At 47.3% G+C, this 21,864-nt stretch overlaps 1 protein-coding gene across 4 annotated transcripts in view, besides 3 other annotated features; it reads right to left on the bottom strand.

The window, feature by feature from the left end:
* SMOC2 (SPARC related modular calcium binding 2) overlaps window positions 377–21,864 on the bottom strand; it is a 226,809-nt gene continuing 205,321 nt past the window's right edge. For 2 of the 4 annotated variants that reach the window (NM_022138.3, NM_001166412.2), the window contains exons 10-13: window positions 17,586–17,688; window positions 15,141–15,415; window positions 4,258–4,295; window positions 377–1,948 (exon numbers count right to left, since the gene is read on the bottom strand). In NM_022138.3, the coding sequence (NP_071421.1) occupies window positions 1,931–1,948; window positions 4,258–4,295; window positions 15,141–15,415; window positions 17,586–17,688 (434 nt within the window). In that variant the 3' untranslated portion in view covers window positions 377–1,930. Of the gene's footprint in view, window positions 3,634–4,257; window positions 4,296–15,140; window positions 15,416–17,585; window positions 17,689–21,864 lie in introns of all 4 variants that reach the window. The other 2 variants (XM_011536066.2, XM_011536065.2) reach the window with 2 other exon arrangements.
* Window positions 467–966: an enhancer, noted in NCBI's record as "H3K4me1 hESC enhancer chr6:169068083-169068582 (GRCh37/hg19 assembly coordinates)". NCBI's record gives its function as "activates a minimal SCP1, AML or CMV promoter by ChIP-STARR-seq in naive H9 embryonic stem cells {active_cell/tissue: H9 hESC(naive)}" and the evidence as "EXISTENCE:reporter gene assay evidence [ECO:0000049][PMID:30033119]".
* Window positions 967–1,468: an enhancer, noted in NCBI's record as "H3K4me1 hESC enhancer chr6:169067581-169068082 (GRCh37/hg19 assembly coordinates)". NCBI's record gives its function as "activates a minimal SCP1, AML or CMV promoter by ChIP-STARR-seq in naive H9 embryonic stem cells {active_cell/tissue: H9 hESC(naive)}" and the evidence as "EXISTENCE:reporter gene assay evidence [ECO:0000049][PMID:30033119]".
* Window positions 8,727–9,227: an enhancer, noted in NCBI's record as "H3K27ac hESC enhancer chr6:169059822-169060322 (GRCh37/hg19 assembly coordinates)". NCBI's record gives its function as "activates a minimal SCP1, AML or CMV promoter by ChIP-STARR-seq in naive H9 embryonic stem cells {active_cell/tissue: H9 hESC(naive)}" and the evidence as "EXISTENCE:reporter gene assay evidence [ECO:0000049][PMID:30033119]".

Raw genomic sequence — 21,864 nt, 5'->3', positions numbered from 1 at the left:
AGCATTGGGTGATGTCAGCAGCACTGGGCAGTGTGGACTTAAGACTCACGGGCAGATGACCTTCCACATGGTCAGGGCAAACACATGTACGTGGCACACCTGGGGTGCAGGTTCCAAGCACTTTACATACATTAACAACTCACATAATTCTCTTCCCATGTGTGGAAGGAGGAGGTTCATTCATACCACCAGCATCCCCGCATCCCAGAGGAGGAACTGAGGGGTCATGTCTAAAGTCACACACCACTCAGGGACACAGCCAGGGTTCCAATTCTTTCTGCCCAGAGCCCTCACCTTTCCCTCCCTTACAGTGGACACTTGTACAATTAAGCAATGATCAAAGTCTGCAATTAGCTGGAAAAAAAAAAGACTAATATAGTTTCAATAGCATATTTTATTTTAATCTAAGAACAATGATTAAATTCAAAGGTCAGAAATATAAAAGATTATCCAAAAAGTTTAGGATCATAACTGTTTCTTAAACAACATTGGCATGTACTTGAGCTGGTTCTGTGGCTCCAAAGGCTTGATTTTTACCTTGCACAGTTTAAATAAGCAAGAAGCCTTACGCGATGCTCCACAAGCATCACAACATCACAAAATCATTCTACAAGGCATGTCTCAGGGGATTTGGGGCCATGAAGATCTTTTTCCAACCAAAAGTCTGAGCCGAGATAGAATCACAGCTTGAAGTTCCTGCTCTCAGACTGTCCTCCAAATGGTTCCTTAAGACACTGGGTGCCCTGAGCTCTGGGGCCCAGGCCTGAGGGTGGCAGCTGGTTATGCACGCAGACCAGTTCTGTTGGTCACTGTGTGGGCATTCCACTCCTATCCTTCTCTGCCAGTGCCACTCGGATGAATTTCCCATTGGCAAGTTCTCGTACCCTTGATGCATTCAGAAAAGCAGAAAGGAACCGTGGGGACCCTCAGGCACCTCCCCCCGGCTGCCAACACCAGCCCCGGGGGCACCACGTATCCGGCTGTACCTTCAGTAAGGAGACTGCTCATAATTGGTTCAGGTGAAGATTTTACCTTCCGGTAGCCCTGGGGTGGACCAGGTAGGAGGATCAGGAGAATAATGTCCACGTGTAGGAGGAAAACCAGGCAGACAAGCCTGTTAGCCAGCTCGGTCACACCGCGACTGGATTTACATTTTGGAAGGATGGGCCCCTCCCAGGCACTGTGACTGGATTTACTGCCTCCTAGGCAGCCTCCCACCATCCGAACGACTCTCTGGGACTCATTCAAGCCCCAGGGCAAAACTCAAAACAGAAGCTTAAAATGGAAAAGCAAAGATCCTTTGAGCCAAAGTATCACACCAACGACAGTTTGAAAATATTATTTCCTCCAGGGGAACTACCTGCACTTAACTGGATAGCTTTAGTGGTTGCGTGATTCATTGTATGAGCAAGATCTCTGGAAAGCAAAACAAGACAAACTAACAGAAAATCCCAAGAAACAAACCAGCCCATGCATGTTAACTGCCTGTAGGGTCGGCCGTACATCACAAACTTCCATGGACATGTGGAGCTTCCAACATGATTCCACAATGCTGTAAGCACAGGCATCTGGAAGTGACTGCAGGGGTTAGAGAAAGCCATACGATTGCAGCCGGAGTGCATAGAGCTCTACTGTTAACATGTGGAAGGCGAAGAAATTAAGCCTAAATGCATTCAAATACTTCTCCACCACATACAGATTTCCAAGGTCAAAAGAGGACACATACATTGTATGTGATTAATTTTCTGAAGCCAGCTCTCCATTTTCACAGATTAAAACAGTCTGTTTAAATAGCTCATTTCTACAAAGTGAATTTACATTTAAAGTACAAAGTGCAAATACTATGTGTTTCTGTTTTTGTTTTCTTAATTGCTCTTTGGTGAGGGAAATTTCCCATGTGTCTAGGAACTGCCTTCGGGGTATGAGCCATTTATCCTTGTTTCCTTGGCTGAAAAGGAAAAAACAAAAAAGAGACATTATATTCAGAGGTGTGTGTCGCTCATCTGTGAAGACTAAGGCTTGGCTTCTGGGAATGAACTGAACCAAAGAGGGCTGGGCAGGTCATGTGAGGTGTAAGTATGAGTAAGAAACAATGAAGACATTTTGGACACTGGTAACTTCTTAACAGTTTCCTTCCTTGACATGATAGAAAAATTGGGAAAAATATATCGTTTCAAAAAAGTAACATCCACTGTAAATATTCTAAGTACTAAATACATTAAATGTTTTCCAGAATGTCTTATCACCTTGATTATACAAAAATAATTTTAATAATATAACTTATGCTTCAAATTTGATAAAGGCATAGTTGATTCTTAATTTTCCTTTTTATCTTTTTTGTTCACTAGTTTACCTCTTTAAGAAGAAATCCAACTTAAAAAGTTTGCTTATTATAATGATAAACAACTGTAACTCAGCATCTTGACTTTCAATTAAAAGTAATTTAGAATGAAAAAAAAAAAGCAATATATGATCTCCTAGACTTAGTTTTCCAAGAGTGCCAATTCCGACAAATGTTGATCCCTTCTTCTGTTTTATTATTTCAAATAATTAAATTTTAAAGTTTAGGTTTCTGGGTTGGCTTTTATTCCCCCTTGATAAAGATCTGAAGAGGTGAGAAGACAAACCCATCTCCTACACTAAACTTGAGGTTTAAATTAGTTGCACAGAAAGACAACCCGTCAAAGTATTCTAACAGTCTCAAAAGATGGTTAGGATTGCAGGAGGAGACGGTGGACTAACATTTTAACTTATTTAATATCAGCTCTGATGATTCTGGAGTGGCAGCGGAAGCTGAAGAGATCAGGAAAGAGCTCCTCTGGATTCCACATTAGCATCATGCACCTTCCCGTGATCCCTTCTTTTGATAGTTCCTGTCTGGGTCATGCATATGGTGAAACCCTTGCTGGCTGGCACTATGTTATTCTTTGAGATGTTTCAAAGCAACATGGTGGCCTTCAATGGCCACGGCCGGTAGGAGCCGCAGCTGGCTTGCCCGTTAGGATCATCCCAATATCGTAGTTTGCTGACATAGCCACAGCATGAAAGGCATGGAGGTCCGCGTGTCCACGCAGGCACTATAAAAGGAGGGGGAACCTGCTTCTGTTTCTCTTTTTGGAAAAAAGAGCTGAAGCAGGAGGCATGTGCTTTGAACTGAGTTTATTTAAGATGCGTGGAGCGCATGAGTACAGTGATTGCCATTCGGGAATGAAAACAACTTCTGGAGGTCTTGGCACTCAGGGAGGGTAATTACTTTCAGACCAGCCCTGTTTTCAAGTGTAAGTGATTTGCGGTGAGATTTAAAGTTAAAACCATAAACATTTGCTAAACAAAGGAAAGCATATCACACATCTTTCCTCAGGAAATGGTTTTAAATTACATCCAAGGTGTGTGCTGGCCGCCTCCACTTAAATCCACAACAAATACAGGGGCTTGCCTTAGGAAATGTCGACCTGGCATCAAACAGGTGCAGACAAAATAAATCACAAATTGACTCGCGGCAGCAAAGAAGTGGGGATTTTGTCCTGGCTTTGAAGGAGAGAGACATGAACCCACTCATGTTTATCTTCTGGAAAGTGTTCTTGACTTGCGATGGGTTGTGGCTTTGGGTCTGGAGGACACCACCATTGCATCCTTTACTTGCAAATTGAGAGGGAGAGCCAGAAACACAACACATGTTTGTGAACACACAGCAGGAGCCGAAAGCCCCTTTTGGAGCCCAACACTTGTCTTGCTGGGACCCCAAAAGAAGCAGAAATGCACCTGCTTATGCAGGATGCCTCCTGTTCCTGCAACCTCCCTGACAAAATGGAGGAACCAAATTACAAACACTCAGACAATTGCTTGAAAAAATTCAGCCGGGTACGGTGGCGCATGCCTGTAATCCCAGGTGGATTGCTTGAGCCTGTGAGTTCGAAACTAGCCTGGGCAACATGGCAGAACCCCTTCTCTTAAAAAAAAAAAAAAAAAAAAAAAAAAAAAAAAGATCTACCAAACAAGGAAACTCAGAAATTTTTCTTAATAAATGAAAGTTCAAATAATAAACTTTTTTCAAACAAGTTGGTGATTTCGGATAGAATTCGGCAAGGCTGCTTTAGTCCCCATAGGGTGTAGTCAGTAAGCTTGCCTCCCTTGAATTATTTATTTTCTTGGATTTTCTTGGAAGGTACTGGCCATTGCAAATCTACATAACTCTGAATTTTTATTGTTTATAATTTAAAAACGAAATGGTTAAGAGTAAAATATAAACATACTTACCTGTCTATTAGACGTACTTTCAGCATGACCTCTGGGGGCTAGCAGGAAAAAAAAAAGATATTATTAAAAATCAGAGACTCATTATTTAATGAAAGGTTCAACACAATTTCAGGAAGGAGTCCACATCACTTTAGGAAGGTGTTATCAATTGGCAAACTCATTTATATGAAAAAAACCACATACAGTCATTCCTCAGTATCCAGAAGGGATTGGTTCCAGGACCCCTGCATATCAAAATCCTCCAATTCTCAAGCTTCTTATATATTATCGTGTAATATTTTAATATAATCTGAACACCTCCTATATACTTTAAATCATCTGTAGACTACTTATAATGCTTAATGCAATGTAAATGCTGTGTAAATACTTGCTATACTACATTTTTTTATTTGCATCTTTTCTTTCTCTGAGCATTTTTGATGCAAGTTTGCTTGAATCCACAGAAGAGCTAACTATATATACATTCAACACAAATTATGAGTACTGGATCATGAAAGTAACTATGTAAGTACTTTCTAACATACAGATTCTCTAGTCCAGCCTTAGAAGAATGTTTTACTTTACCCCAAACTCTAAGGTAAATCCACCTTCCCTGGAGAGCTGAATTCTAGATGTTTCTCAACCTTTCCCCAGAAGGCGGGGGATTCACGTCCCTGGGGTGCCGGAAGTGAAGCCATCAGCAATGCCCCAACAAGAGCTCTTTGAAGTCTTTTGCTTCTATATTAAAATCAGGAGAGATGAACGTGTTTGGCTCAAAATAGTTTTTTTCAAAGCTTCGAGTAGAGTCAAAGCCCGAGGGAGCTGTGCTGTCCGTCTCCTGGCTTCACCGCCCTCTGCACAGCGGAGCTTCCTGGGAAAGTCTCCTTCCTGCTCTCAGCTCAGCTTCCACGCTTGCATCTCCATGGAAACCTCTGAGAAGCACCCCAGGGGCTCCAGCATCCTCATCCCTTTCCTATCTTCACCCACTCACTGGTGGGCTCAGGTTGGCCTCAGGATTTTAAATACTCTCTATTTCCTGACAGCTCCCAAGGATACAAATAGCTGTAATCTTCAGCATGGACCTCTTTCTCTCCTCAGTCCAGATTATCAGATCCAACTTCGTTATCTCCATGTGGAGTTTCATTCAATAGGCAGCTCAAAAGAAACAGGACCCAACTGGACTCATTATCTTCCCTTGCAAACCTACTTTCTGACGTATTCCATCCTCAGGACACAGTAACCCCATTCTTGAGCTGCTCAGGGCAAACTTTGGGAGTCATGATCACGCCTCTCTTCTCCTACCTTCCTCATCTCACCTGGGAGCAAATCCCTCAGGCTCTACACCCAAAGTCTATCCAGAGCCCGACACTCCTCGCACAGGCTGCTCCGTGGCCGGAACCGCCCACCTCTCCCACGTGGACCCGAGCAGACACCTCACCACTCTCCTCCTTCAGCCCTTCCCATCTGTTGTCTACACAAACATGGAAACCAGCAGTCCTCTAAAACATTCCACCCAAGCCTTCCAATGGCCTCACTCAGAGAAGCAGCCAGAGGCTTCTGGGCTATGCTGGAGGCGGGGTGGGCTCTGCCCCATCCACCCATGTGGCATCACATCACTCCGGATGCCTGTTCCTCTCCAGTGCCCGACTTCTCCCCACCCCTGGGGCTTGCTGGGCATGGCGTTCCTGCTGTCCTCTGCAGGCTGCTCTCCACCCGACGGCCCTTGGTTCTCCTCTGCTCCTCCAGTCTCCACTCACTCGCACCTTGCAGGGCCTCCTCCCTGCCCCCATCTAACGTTCCAGCCCTCCTGACCTTCCCTTCTGCCTCCTCCACAAGCAACCCCTATCGTGCTGTGGGGTTTCTTATTTATCTGATGACTCGCTTCCACACCAAAGTATAAGCCTTAAAGAGACACACATTCCTGTGTGTTTACTGTTATTCTGTCAATATCTAGAGCAGAAAGTACTTGGTCAATAGTTTTCAAATGAATCAATAGATGAGGGAAGTATCCTTCATCCCATATTCCTTGATTAACTGTTGATTTCTATCCACTCAATAAAAAACATGGAGTAAAGAGCAAAATTGCTCTATTTTCAAACTGTCTTCCCTTGCCATAACGCAAATAGAAACAGAGTATGAAAAGGTGAAAAACAATTTGCAATTAGGTAAATTGCAAAAACATCGAGCAGTGGCTAAATCTATGATTTTTTTAAATAGTTGGTTTCAATGGTCTAAGTGCCAAAATGAGTGCTGCTGTTCCTCTACTTGTCTTGCCTGGAATGACTACTTTACAGGAAAAAATATAGGCTTTTCAGCCAACGGTTCAAATTCAAATACTATTGGAGTGATACTTTGAATCTATTCTGAGCCAATTTGGCTATTCAACAATTGCCAGTTTTTTTTGTATTGCTTGCTGATTAATAGAATTCTCCCTGGGAGTTAGAAGTAGCTGTAGATTAAAGTTATAAAAAGAAGTAGCTGTAAATTAAAGTTATAAAAAAAAACTAATATTCTTTTTTTTGGGGGGAGGTTGGATGGGGTCTCACTCTGCCACCCAGGATGGAGTGCAGTGGCGCGATCTCAGCTCACTGCAACCTCCAACTCCCTGGTTCAAGCAATTTTCCTGCCTCAGCCTCCCGAGTAGCTGGGATTACAGGCTCACACCACCACACCCAGCTAATTATTGTATTTTCAGTAGAGACGGGGTTTCACCATGTTGGCCAGGATGGTCTTGATCTTTTGACCTTGTGGCCTCGGCCTCCCAAAGTGCTGGGATTACAGGCATGAGCTACCACGCCCGGCTGATTTCTCATATTTTTTAGAATAAAAAGCGCATTGTTCAGTAGTGAGCAAAAATATAGGGAACAAAAAAAACTTAGCAACAGTGTGGATATTTAGAATGTTCTCACTAATTTCTTCCTGGATCTTTAGGTTTTTCTGACTTTTCACTATTGTAAACTATACAGGGTACAAAACATATAACTGATAATGAATTTTTTTAAGTCAAAAAAAAAAATTCTGTAAGGAAAATGAAAGGGCTGCAAAATCAGCTAAATATGTATCCAAGACCACAATGTTCATTTTTGACCATGACCAAATTGCCTCTTTTGCCAAACTGCAGTTTATTTTGCTAGGAGCGATCATATTCTTTCTTCTTGATTACTAAGAAGACAGTAAAAATGAGACATATCAGATTATTCAGAGGGATCTGAAGAAGAGAACTCTAACTTCTGCAGCAACTTAAACTTTTCACCTAAGACAATGGCATCAGAAGAGATCGCGCTGTGCTCCAAAATCCATCCATTCTTCCTCGCCAGGGGCTAAGAACTCCAGCCCATCCATGCCCCTTCCCTGCCCCACACTGCGGCTCGGGCCTTTGGAAGGTGGGAGGCTGAGAGGCTCCATCTCTGAGCATCCACCTCCCTTGTGGCTGTGCGAGTGGCTCAGCCTCTCATGCTTCTCTGCCACATCTTCCCAAGACCTGTGCTGACCTGCGCTGAACCTGCCTTCCCGCCCAGGGCGGCATGGTGGCAACCCACAGCCTCTATGCTATGTGAACCAGAAGGAAACGCTTGGGTCCTAAGCCATCGCGATTCTGTAGTCACTTGCATGAAGCGTGACCCATGGAAGGTCATGACTCATAAAAGTTACCTTCATTTCAGTCTATCAATATATGCAATGAAAAAACATTTCCTCCCAGAGCTTTCTCCCAGCGCTACTGAGAACTCCATGTATCCTTCAACACCAGGGTCCTGCTCAGCCTTAGCAGAGAGCAATGCGGACCAGTCCTAGAAGGAACTGACAACCTTTTGAAATCAGGATATGCGGCTCACAACAGTTGTCTGTATGGTGCTGCCACCTTCCAAAGAGATTGTCTAGGGGATTTAGCTTGCCCATGAGGGACTCATATCCTTCTATCAGAACCCAATCCATGGGCCAGTTCCTTGGAGAGTGGGTGTATTAACCATGACTTTCATTTTCTTTATCTAATGCTTTGACATCTGAAGAGGCTGAAGAGGCTGCCCTCTCAGAGCTAGCCCATCCCCAGAGACCGTGAGGAGCAGCCTTTCCTATTCAGGCCAACCTACAACCTCCACCCTCACCCAGCCTACAACCTCCACCCTCACCCAGACAACAACCTCCACCCTCACTCAGCCTATAATCTACAACCTCACCCAACCTACAACCTCCACCCTCACCCAGCCTACAACCTCCAACCTCACCCAACCTACAACCTCCACCCTCATCCAGCCAACAATCTCCATCCTCACACAACCTACAACCTCTACCCTTACCCAGTCAACAACCTTCACCCTCACCCAATCTACAACCTCCACCCTCACTCAGCCTATAATCTACAACCTCACCCAACCTACAACCTCCATCCTCACCCAACCTACAACCTCCACCCTCACTCAGCCTACAACCTCCACCCTCACCCTACCTACAACCTCCACCCTCACCCAGCCTACAACCTCCACCCTCACCCAACCTACAACCTCCACCCTCACTCAGCCTACAACCTCCACCCTCACCCAACCTACAACCTCCACCCTGACTCAACCTACAACCTCCATCCTCACCCAGCCAACAACCTCCATCCTCACCCAACCTACAACCTCCACCCTCACCAATACTATAACTTCCACCCTCAACCAGCCAACAACCTCCACTCTCACCAACCCTACAACCTCCACCCTCACCCAGCCTATAACCTGGCCACCTCATTTATAGGCAAGCCTGCCTGGGAAATCATGATGAGGGCTCAGGGCCAGTCCCTTGCTCCCTCTGTCTCTTGGCTGACCCTGGTGCTTCACATGTGGCCCCCGACAGCACAGCATGGCCTCTTCTCCTTGGGATCTGTGAGTAACAAATTATCTTTTCAATTGTCTCCTGATCTGTTTGCCAAATGACACCTCAAAATTCTTATCAATACATTATGTTTTAAAATAGTAGGACACATAGATGAATGCCAGACATTTGCCCTAACAGAGCTTGATCCAGCCCAGAGCGCCAGTATTAGTGTTTACACACCACATGCTATACACATACATACACACCACTCACACACACACCCCACACGCCACACACACACATACACACCACACCCCCACACACCATAAACACACACACCCCATATTTACACACACACACCATACACACACACCATATACACACACACCACACACACCACACATACACACACTCCACACACACACACCACACACACCACACATACACATACTCCACACACACACACAGTCTGAGCTGTGTCCTGCAGGTGATGCAGGATGAGGGGAGCTATGGGTTCCTCTGGAAGGGTGACTTAGGAGCAGGGCCTCCAGGAGAACAGAACATCTTCTTAACTGCTGTGGATCCATCTTGAAATCGTTTCATCCCGAAATTTTCAAAATTCTGTCACCATAATCACAGCTCTGGGCCCAATTACTCTACCTGAAAACCCGCCAATTGCTGGAACTCATCCAACCCCCTTACAAAGAGTCAACATTCACTTCGGTTTAATTGAAGAAATTAGTAGACAGGAATCTGCCCCAGCAAGGGCCATGGACCACATGACCCTGTAGCACCAGGCTGAGGAGGGCAGAAGCCATGCGTGGCTTACGTTTCAGGTGCTACTCAAGCCACCTGACAACGGCTAACAGGATGGAGTCCTTGCAAAGAGAAGACCAGCCTGCACCACCCAGGAATGGAAGAAGATTAAAAGTTAGAAACAGATCTACACTTGGCTCTACCCATCCTTAATTTTCTCATTATGACCATAAAAATTAGCCTTCTACAGAAATGCAGAGACTGGTTTCCGTAACAGAGGAGGAGCCACACAGGAAGCCCCCAGGTGCCACAAGGTGTCACTCATCACATGCAGATGGGGCAACAGCAGAATGTGAGCAGCTCCCTTCATGAATCACTGGGTGGGTGTTCATCTTCCCTCTCTGTGGAACCATCAGGGGTGAGGGACACCATGGTTCCCTGGCCCCAGCTGCAGATCTGGCAGCCACCTGCTCTCCATCTCCCCATCAGTCCCCCAGGCCTCCCATGTGGACCCTGCTTGTAGGTTTTAAGTCTCAAAGAGCAAAACACCATTTGTCTTCTGGGATCCTGAGCAGGGACCAAAATAAGAGAAAAAGCACAGGAAGTGAAGAAAGCAGCCTGTTATGGTCTGAAGGTGAGCCCAAAGTTCATGTGCTGGAAACTCAATCCCTAATACAGAGGCGTTGGGAGGTTTAAGAGGTCTGCATCATGAGGACTCTGCCCTCACGAATAGGTGAATGCCATTATATTGGGAGTGGGCTCCTAGGAAAGAATGTGTTTGGCCCCCCTTGCTCTCTCTCTCTTTCTCACCCTCTCTTCGCCCTTCTATTTGGGGATGACACAGCACAAAGGCCCTCACCAGATGCTGATTCCACAATCTTGGACTGCCCAGCCTCTAGACCCATAAGCTAATACGTTTGTGTTCATAAGGTATCCCATCCATGGTGTTCTGTTATAGCAGCACAAAATGGACTAAGACACAGTCCCAGTCCAAGAAGCCAAAAGCAGTATCGGGTGGCAGTAAGAGAGAAGTGCTCAGGAAACCCAGTGGGCAGGTGCTGAATACAGAGAAAGGGAAAAGCAAGGGGGAAATCACACATGGGCAACTACTGAGAATAGGCATCCTTGGTTTTCCATCCAAATGCCTGGAGGGTTGCAGGTGTATGCTGGTGTGGGCGAAGGAGCCCTAACAGCAAGTGTAGCCCAGCAGAGTGGACGATTTCCAACAGCACTGCCCTTGCTGCATGCAGCACTGCTGAGGAAGACTCAGATCAAAGTGCTGATGACTGCAGTGCCTGTGTGTCCTTGTCTGCAAGTGTCAGGGATGGCAGCATCTGTCTGTGACCTCGTCCCCCTCAGGATGGCTGTGAAAATGAAATGAGGTCTTGAGCCATGAAGTAGGATTGGATATTGGATCATGAGCCTTGCCAGACCTTGGCAGCACATTTAGTGCCCCTCTTCCCACAGTGGTGAGTGGGCATTTGCTGCCTTCATGCATTGCAGTTGATCAGCCCAGAGTGATTTCTTTTCTTTTTTGTCTTATTAGAGGCCAGCTCCTCCCACACTTGCCAAAGAGTCCTTGATGGAGACAGAACATTGAACATAACTGAGGATTCTCTCTGACCTCATCGGATGGCCGGGCCAGCACAGGGGGCAGCCTCCTGCATACAGAGCGAAGGGAGGCGGCCATAGGTACAGCCATCTGCTCTCCCGTGAAGACATCATCAGGACGGCAGGACGTGCATTAACCACAAAGACCCTATACAAAAAGCTTCAAACTAAAGCTTAATTTTTCAGAGCTGACTTTTCACAGAGAAATTAGCAGGAAGTGCGTCGCCATGACACAGATCTAGGCTTGCCCTAATTTGGTTGAACAGCACTGAGTGACTATCAAGACAAGCACTAGGACACTGAGAAGAGGAGGCAGACGATGATCACTGCCTCCTCCAGGAGCCCTCAGTCCAGGTCAGATCAAAGGGCCCCTGTCTCACAGCTGAGCTTCAAACATGGGAGGGTTTTTTTTTTTTCCTTTTCTCTTTTTCTTTTCTTTTCTTTTTTTTTTTTTTTTTTTTTTTAACACAAAGTCTTGCTTTGTCACCCAGGCTGGAGTGCAGTGGCACGATCTCAGCTCACTGCAACTTCTGCCTCCCAGATTCAAGCAATTGTGCCTCAGCCTCTGGAGTAGCTGGGACTACAGGCATGAGCCATCATGCCTAGCTAATTTTTATATTTTTAGTAGAGATGAGGTTTCACTATGCTGGCCAGGCTGACTTTGAACTTCTGACCGCAGGTGATCCACCCGCTTCAGCCTCCCAAAGTGCTGGGATTACAGGTGTGAGCCACCGTGACTTGCCAGGAGGATTTTAAAGACCACGGTGAATCAGCCCTCCACAACACAGTCTCAAGCTTGTTTTCTCTTCCACATTTGTTATCGAGTTGACAACAAATAAAAGAGTCATAAACGACAGAGATTTGAGCGGTGTCTACTAGCCCTACCCAGCAAGTATTACACAAATCAGGAAACAGATCCCCAAGGACAGTGAGAGCTAATGCACATGTGGAATGAGATCCAGCACACATGTGCAGTGGGATCCAGTACACGTGTACAGTGGGATCTAGCACACACATACGGGGGATCCAGCACACACGCGCAGTGGGATCCAGTACATGTGTACAGTGGGATCTAGCACACACATATGGGGGATCTAGCTCACACATGCAAGGGATCGAGCACATACGTGCAGTGAGATCTAGCACAAGTGGGCAGGGAGATCCAGCACATACATGAAGGGGAATCTGGCACACATGTGCAGTGGGATTTAGCACACACATGCAGGGGAATCTAGCACACATGTGTGAGGGGATCCAGGATACATGTGCAAGGGATCTAGCACACATGTGTGAGGGAAATCTAGTACACACGTGCAGGGGGATCTAGCACACACGTGTGAGGGGATCCAGCACACATGTGCAGGGGGATCTGGCACACATGTGCCGGGTATCTAGTACACACATGCAGTAGGATCCAGCACACACATGCAGGAGTATCTAGCACGCATGTGCAGTGGGATCAGGGCATGCACGCATCTCACAGTGCTGTCTCTGAGCTGAAAAGTCAGACCCGGCTTCTCCTGGCTTGCCTCCTAAGAACATCTGGGCTCTGGCCATCACAGGTTTCTCTTACTTCCTGTCACGGTTGGGTAGGCCAGGCCCACAAAAAAAAGTATTTTCAATTGTTAAAACTGCTATAACCATTGGAATAACTGGTCTGGGCCACAGCAATGATTTTACGGCTTGTGAACTGGCCTAACGTTTAGTTGGAGCTCAGGTGCAGGGTTGGTGAGTTCCTAACATCTGGTTGGAGCTCAGGTGCAGGGTTGGTGAGTTCCTAACATCTGGTTGGAGCTCAGGTGCAGGGTTGGTGAGTTCCTAACATCTGGTTGGAGCTCAGGTGCAGGGTTGGTGAGTTCCTAACATCTGGTTGGAGCTCAGGTGCAGGGTTGGTGAGTTCCTAACATCTGGTTGGAGCTCAGGTGCAGGGTTGGTGAGTTCCTAACATCTGGTTGGAGCTCAGGTGCAGGGTTGGTGAGTTCCTAACATCTGGTTGGAGCTCAGGTGCAGGGTTGGTGAGTTCCTAACATCTGGTTGGAGCTCAGGTGCAGGGTTGGTGAGTTCCTAACATCTGGTTGGAGCTCAGGTGCAGGGTTGGTGAGTTCCTAACATCTGGTTGGAGCTCAGGTGCAGGGTTGGTGAGTTCCTAACATCTGGTTGGAGCTCAGGTGCAGGGTTGGTGAGTTCCTAACATCTGGTTGGAGCTCAGGTGCAGGGTTGGTGAGTTCCTAACATCTGGTTGGAGCTCAGGTGCAGGGTTGGTGAGTTCCTAACATCTGGTTGGAGCTCAGGTGCAGGGTTGGTGAGTTCCTAACATCTGGTTGGAGCTCAGGTGCAGGGTTGGTGAGTTCCTAACATCTGGTTGGAGCTCAGGTGCAGGGTTGGTGAGTTCCTAACATCTGGTTGGAGCTCAGGTGCAGGGTTGGTGAGTTCCTAACATCTGGTTGGAGCTCAGGTACAGGGGTGGTGAGTTCCTAACATTTGGTTGGAGCTCAGGTACAGGGGTGGTGAGTTCCTAACATTTGGTTGGAGCTCAGGTACAGGGGTGGTGAGTTCCTAACATTTGGTTGGAGCTCAGGTAGAGGGTTGGTGAGTTCCTAACATTTGGTTGGAGCTCAGGTAGAGGGTTGGTGAGTTCCTAACATTTGGTTGGAGCTCAGGTAGAGGGTTGGTGAGTTCCTAACATTTGGTTGGAGCTCAGGAGCAGGGTTGGTGAGTTCCTAACATCTGGTTGGAGCTCAGGTGCAGGGTTGGTGAGTTCCTAACATCTGGTTGGAGCTCAGGTGCAGGGTTGGTGAGTTCCTAACATCTGGTTGGAGCTCAGGTACAGGGTTGGTGAGTTCCTAACATTTGGTTGGAGCTCAGGTACAGGGTTGGTGAGTTCCTAACATTTGGTTGGAGCTCAGGAGCAGGGTTGGTGAGTTCCTAACATCTGGTTGGAGCTCAGGTGCAGGGTTGGTGAGTTCCTAACATCTGGTTGGAGCTCAGGTGCAGGGTTGGTGAGTTCCTAACATCTGGTTGGAGCTCAGGTGCAGGGTTGGTGAGTTCCTAACATCTGGTTGGAGCTCAGGTGCAGGGTTGGTGAGTTCCTAACATCTGGTTGGAGCTCAGGTGCAGGGTTGGTGAGTTCCTAACATCTGGTTGGAGCTCAGGTACAGGGGTGGTGAGTTCCTAACATCTGGTTGGAGCTCAGGTACAGGGTTGGTGAGTTCCTAACATTTGGTTGGAGCTCAGGTACAGGGGTGGTGAGTTCCTAACATTTGGTTGGAGCTCAGGTAGAGGGTTGGTGAGTTCCTAACATTTGGTTGGAGCTCAGGTAGAGGGTTGGTGAGTTCCTAACATTTGGTTGGAGCTCAGGAGCAGGGTTGGTGAGTTCCTAACATTTGGTTGGAGCTCAGGTGCAGGGTTGGTTATTCCAGTGGTTCCCAGGTTTGCACCTCAAATACCAGAAGACAATCCATTCTGGGGGAAGCCAACCGTGGTCTGAACAGTAAAAAGGCTCATTGCAAACCAACACGCAGTTCATGCCCTTTGAGCCTGGGCTCTCCTGGGCAAGTGGCATGTGATGAGTCGCCAATTATCATTATTATTTCTGCAAACAGACGCCCAACAATTAAACAGCATATTTGATTTTTTGCACTCCCAGGCCATAAACACAATCTGTAATTGTGTTTGTGAGAAGCAGACCTCCCAGGCCTCAGGGCCTGACCACTGCCCAGGGTCGGGGGTGGGAAAGCTCTTACTGTGGCGTTTCTTGGTGTCCGCTTTGCCGTCCTCTTTCGCCACGCCCAGGCAGCCCATCAGTTCTTGTACGGAGATGGATTTGTCATTATTCACGTCACAGTATTCAACAAACTTCTTCACACATTTTTTGGGCTTTGATTTTTTGCGAAGGAACCTCTTGAAGGGTTTGATTTCCTTTTTGCCGATGTCTCCACTGGAGTTTTTATCCAGTAGTTTGAAGTACCAGTGCACCACCCGCTCCTCTAGGGTATGGCTGGGGTCGGGTTCTGAGAGCCTGGAAGGAACACAGATGCCGTCAGGATGCTTAAACCCCTGGGCTGCTCCTTCCTGGCCACTGTCCTTCCCTCAAACCCATAACCCCTGCTTGTAGTTCTCATGGTCCTGGTGTCTCAGCCTGCAGCACTGGTCATCAGATATAACAATTTAAAGAAATAATTTAGAAGAACATTTTTAGCAAAGATTTTTCAGGTTGGATTCAAAATTGTAAATGATGCAGTGAATTTGTGCCCAGCAAAGATGCACTTGAAGGACAAAAGCCCCCTTATCCTGGCTTCTGTGTGCACAGGACTGGCAGGTCAGCACATGCAGCTATACCCGCCCGACACACCAGAACCCTGAGCTTTTCTAGCCCTGTAAATGTGATTCTTTTACACATCCTTCATGTCATAGGAATATCAGATGATGCAAATCAAAAACATTTTAAGTTGGGACTAGATATTTTTCCTTGGATTATGTTAGGTTCAATATTTTAGGGCATACATAAATAAACTCTTCTAGAAGGTGCGGATCTTTAAAAGTGCACCAAATGGCAGACACGCACCTTCTCCGTGAGATGGAGGGTGTGTGTGTGCGCATGGGATGGCCCTCCTGGAGGTGCTGGCCCCTGGATTCTGCCTGTTGGGATGAGCTGTACATTCCCAGGTATGAGAACACCGTGAACTCCGACACCATTGCCAATTTCTCAACCTTTCGGAGGATTTTCAGATAACAATCCATTTACTGCCATCAATTTTAGTTTGCATTTAGTTTAGTTTGCAATTTAGTTTAGTTAGCAATTCATTTACTGCCTTCATTTTTAGTTTGCAGTTTAGCTTAGTTTGCGAAAACAATCTTTCCAAGAATAGAAGATGTAAAGTTGAAATTTACATACAGTTTGACTCTATTAAAATTTTTTTTTTTTTTTTTTGAGACAGAGTTTTGCTCTTGTTGTCCTGGCTGAAGTGCAATGGTGTGGTCTTGGCTCACTGCAATCTCCGCCTCCCAGGTTCAAGTGATTCTCCTGCCTTAGCCTCCCGAGTAGCTGGGATTACAGGTGCCTGCCACCATGCTGGATTAAGTTTTGTATTTTTAGTAGGGATGGGTTTTCACCACGTTGGCCAGGCTGGTCTCGAACTCCTGACCTCAGGTGATCCACCTGCCTTGGCCTGCCAAAGTGTTGGGATTACAGGCGTGAGCCCCTGCGCCCGGCCTGCTCTATTAAATTTAATTTCCTACACATTCATGACATTTTCTGTTAGTATTGCCTTTTTATTTCCTTAAGTCTTCTTTAGCAGACAGACAGTGAGAGGAGAGGCTTTTAGTTCAGGAGACCAAAAAAATCACCTAAAGTGGCTGAGATAATCAAGGGTTTGGGTGTCAGGGGCTATGGGGAGAAAGGCCAACATTCTAAAGAAAGAAAAAAGATGAAATCTCCATCAAAACTTTATTTGAAAGAAACAGATAAACTATGGCTAGATCAGGGGGAATATCTGATGCTTGAGATGCCATCGCAGTAAAACCCTGGGGTTCTTCTGCTCTCCTGAGGCTGATCTACAGAGGGTGGAAAAGAGGAGTGTTGGAGAATTCACCGAAAGCCACTCCACCGAGCTCCAGGCCCCAGGTCCAGGAGTGCGGGAATGCCTACCAGGTACTCAAGGAACATCTCCAGGGTTCCAAAAATCCTATTTTGAACAGTGTGAATGTCTTTGATGTAACTGAATCACATGCCTGAAAGTGGTTAGGACAGCAAATGTATGTGCTGTACATTTTACTGCAGTAAACCTAATCACGTTTTGAGAACTTCAGATTAAACGTTGTCATTCAAAGTATTTACAATCCAATCGATGACTCTAAAGTGCAATTTCAAAGCACAAAGCCCTCTGCAGGAAGTGCTCCCCCTGCCCTGCTCCGCACCAAAAGGGCCAGGGTCAGAGCCCACTACCCCGCAGAGGCCCAGGAGTCACGGCTCAGGGCCATGTACCCCTATGGGAGTGTTTTCAGTGATTTAGTCTTGCTACAAGAAAACCTGCTAAGCAACTTCCTGTGTTTGCAGAAGGCTCCTTTTTAAGGCCCTACTGTGTCCAAATAAGCTGAGAAGGTTGCCAATATGTAATGTTCAGACTTTCCAGATTCCCCAGAATTCTGGGACCCTGCCAACTTGTTGTCCCACGGCGAACACAGCGTACCTGCCTGACGAGGAGGAGGGGTCGGAGGCGGCGTGGACCATGTCCGTGGACAGCGCGTCCAGAACGCTGGTCAGAAACTCATGCTTTTTGGCACCCGGACAACCTGAAAAACACGTGTATGTTTTCATAATTAACTCATAAAGCCTAACAGATTTTCCTCTAAAATACAGGGAAATGTTGTTTTACTGTTTGGAAATGAGTATTTTGGCCTACCTTAATCTTAATGAGCTAGTTTAAACACAAACACATTGCATTATATATATTGATTTTGAGCCATAGCTATTATTAATTCCTCTATTGTTTGAATTATTACGTGAGACTAAAATTCACAGGCATTAGTATCTCACTGATCTTCAGAACTGCAATCGGAGGTGGGCAGTGTCACTCATCCAGCGAGTGTGGCAGCAGAGGCACCGGGTGCTTAGGGACACGGGACATACGGAGTGCACGCTGAGAGCACATGAGGCTGGCCATCCCAGCAATCGAGGCCAGGGCCTGTGATTCACCGCCACCCCCACCCTGTCCAGAGCCACCTCGCTTCTCAGAGCAAAAGGAGGCAGTAGGGCAAACAGCAGGAGCTCCCCAACGCCCGTCTCCTGGGGACTTGTCCACACCACGGCATTGGCACGAACAGTCCACAGCAGGGTTTAGTGCTCATAGCTTTGGAGCCCAGCGCGGACTGTGTATGGATTCTGGGGTCAGGGAATAATTCAGGCACCCAACATTCTGCAGCGTGACTTTCCCCTCCATCCTTCCCTCAACACCACTCTCCTCTCCCACCGGTTAGGAATTCCCTGACACCATGCCTGAGACACTCGTCCCACCCCAAATTCAAGATAACATTTGAAAGAAGCCATCCACTTTCTCTGGGGTCTTTTCTCCTGAGACCGTTCCCGGTGCTACTGCCCCAGTAGCTGGACACAGGCAGCATCCCGTGTCCTTATGCCCAGGGTGGCATGGACAATGGACAACATAGGTCTCCTCTCTCTGGATGCCCTTTTGGCATAGAGAAGCAGCTCAGCTGCCCAATACATGCTTGCTGGATCAATAAGCAAATGCAAGAGGTAGGAGCCCCACCCTCGTTTCCCCGATGAGATCGGCGGGTTTAAGAGCTTCACAAGCAGGGAGCAAAATTTGCCGATTCCAACTGGGTCTATTTGTGTGTAAATATCCAGGGGAGAGGTGACAAACGGAGCTTGTTACCATTTACATTTTGTTAAATTTTTATAAAGAAAGCCCTTCCAGAGTTCAGTAGAAAGAGAAAGATACCGAGGGGAAAATAGAAGACAGAAGCCAGGCACCAGCCCTGGAGGGACAGCGTCCCCACTGAGCCACGCTGCACTCTCAGACTCCCTGCTGGGGAGGCTGCCTCTCCCTGGGGCTCTGCTGGGGCTAGGGACACCCACGGAGACTTCTGAGCCTGGAGAGCACCTCGGGCATTAGAACATCTGCTCGGACCGTCCTCACCACAGCAGGAAGGGAGTTTACACCACACACCTTCTGCCCAATTTAGATTCCATTTTTTACTAAGAAAAGTTTTAGACGGCCCCGCCAAAGGGAATCTCAGGAGCCCACTCAGTAAGTGGAGGACGCGGAGAGCTGCAGAGCCCAGGCAGAAAGCCGAGTGGGACTGAGGACGGCCCCTTCCCCGCCTTCCCCGTGGCCCTCAGAGGAAGGATTGTCTGAGATGAGGAGGGCTCTCTCTGGACTCCTCAGGCAACAGGACAGGCTGAGGGTGCCGTGGGGAAAGGCAGTGCCACACGTGATTCTCAGACCCCTGGGTCGAGGGCACGTTGGCGTGGACCACCCCTGGGTCAAGGGCACGTTGGCGTGGACCATGTGGCCGTGGTGTGGACAGCAGCCAAGTCGTTCGGAGACCAGCCTGTTTATGCAGTTAGGGACGCCCTGGTTTTCCTAGGTTTCTTTTTGACACTGGAGTTTTGTGTGATTGCTCTTGAAGCACACGTGAGCTGCCGATAGCAAGACTCCACAGTCATGCTGGCTTCCACTTCATTAAACACACATGTCAGAAAACAGATGTGCAGCCTTCACCAGGGGGGTTCTGAGAGTGCAAAAAGGTCTGTGTTAGTCTCTTTGCACACAACTGAAAAAGGAGATCAAAATCTATAGCAAAAAGCATCACGGCCACGGGGCAAATGCTACTTTCCAAGAAAGAAGTAACAGTCTCATCGAACATCCCCTCAGAAAGGCAGAGGACCTGAGGCTGCAGAGGCTGCTGGCCGCGGTGCTTCCAAAGCTGCCCAGCCCACCCGGCCTCGGCTCCCTGGGAGGGGCCTCCCGGTCTACAGAAGGCTGAGCTCCCCAGCTGCAGGACTAACCAGGAAGGGAAATGAGAAAAACAACTTGGAGGGCTGAAAATGCCTCCAGGGCACAGGCTCGGGAACACGTGGGCAGAAGCCCTGCCAGGCCAGCCGTCCAGGAGAACTTGTCCAGGGCGACGAGACAGGCGCCGGGGCAGGTGAGGCTGGGACCCACAGGACCTCGGGCACCTGCCTGCCAGGGCTGCTCTCTATGAATTTCCAGTCCTCCACTGGCCTCCAGAGATTCTGAGAGGAATATGGATTTGATGGAGAAGAATATTATTATCTGGGAGAAAAGGCGTTTTAGATAATCCTCAGTACTGAACAGCTTTAAGAAAGAATTATGTGGATATTTGGTGTGGTAATAGGGACACACCCAGGGGGATTTTTTTTGGCTGTTAATTTAATCATATTCCCCCAAATGAGATAAAGCAACACAATATTTCAAATGAGAAAATAATAGATGTTCATCACGAAACATGACTAACATAATATAAAAGCTGCAGGAGTCTTTAGTGCAAAAAGAAAAACTGAACATAAAAAGCATTATGTACTTCTAAAACAAGAAGCAGCAAATCAATCCTGCTCAGTCCCATGTCACAGTCACCCCAGGACCTGGAATAATGCTTGTTACTGATGACGGACGACTGTACTTCAAAACTACTTCTGAAGAAAAAAGGCGAACAAAAATGAAAGATTACAAGCAATCAGAAGAAAAAAACTAACTTTCATTATGTTAAAGTGAATGTTCACTGCATGAGAAATCACAGAAGTACCATGAAGTGAAAATTTCATCACCCTGAGATGTCCCAGATCTAGCAAACGCATGAGAGGAGCAACGAGGCTTGAGGTAAAAGAGAAACGACCCCAGAACAGCTGGGATTTCCCCACTGTTGCCCACAGGGAGCTATTCCGCTTCTCCCATGACAGCTGTGTCCGGCACGGTGATGGCTGCAGAGACCCTCGTCCCTCGCAGGGGCGCTGGCCCCCTGCCAACCCTTGCTGTAACTCCTCTGGCCCATCTTGATAGCAAAGCCACCCTTTGCTCTGGCATTTTGTGGTGTGTGATTCAGGCTGGGGAAGCTGCCCGCTGAGAACCTGTATGAGGAGCCTGGTGCTCTGGTGGGTCCTTTCTAGCACACTCCGCCCCCGGCCTTCTTCTCACTTAGCCGCCTGCACGGTGGGGTCTAACGGCCCCTGTAAATACTGCGTCATGGAAGGGTTGGCGTCAAAACTGCCGCATGCAGGCTCAGCGATGTACCCAGTCACCCTTTATTTTGGGACAGTTCCACTCACAGTAAGTTCTCCAACCACCCATTGAACTGAGTTCAGAAGTCTCAGGTCAACAGAGGCATAGCACGAAGGTGCTACCCCATACACACTCCCACCTGGGTTAGACGTGCCAGGCCCTCTCAAAGTCCACACCATGTGGCAGTGTCCTATGCCCAGGCTCCTGGGGGGAATAATAAGCCAATTCAAGAAAGAAAACCAGACTGTTCTTTTCAAAGCTAGAAACAGAATAAGTTCACCAATTTATATCCAATCTGTGGCAAAACAATGAAGGGAGTAGCTTAGCCCAAGTATCCTCAGGTGCTCCAGCTGATCTGCAGAATCCAAGTCCTTGACATCTGTGAGGTTTCTGTGGAAACACCGGGTTCTATCCTGGTTTTGCCCCACAGTAAAGGTGCTGCACCTTACAAAGCCCTGAGCCCTTCTCAACCCCAGAGCTCATCCAGTCAACAAAGTGGCTGAACTGGCGGGTCCCTGAGACCCCAGCCTATGGACCAGGGACTTTTCAGAAACTGGGTTAATATTCTGATGCTTTAAAAGCATTTTTGACTTTCACTCGTTTAAAATGAATGTGTTCTGTGCTTTCTATGAAACGTCCTTATTTTAAGAAACAAAAACCATTTTTGTATAAAAATTCCTGTTTCAGTAAGTTTATGTAGTTTCTTCTT

The sequence above is a fragment of the Homo sapiens genome, chromosome 6, assembly GCF_000001405.40.
Source record: "Homo sapiens chromosome 6, GRCh38.p14 Primary Assembly".
NCBI lineage: Eukaryota > Metazoa > Chordata > Mammalia > Primates > Hominidae > Homo > Homo sapiens.
Note: the sequence above shows the minus strand (reverse complement) of the source record. Positions and strands in the feature narration are given on the sequence as shown.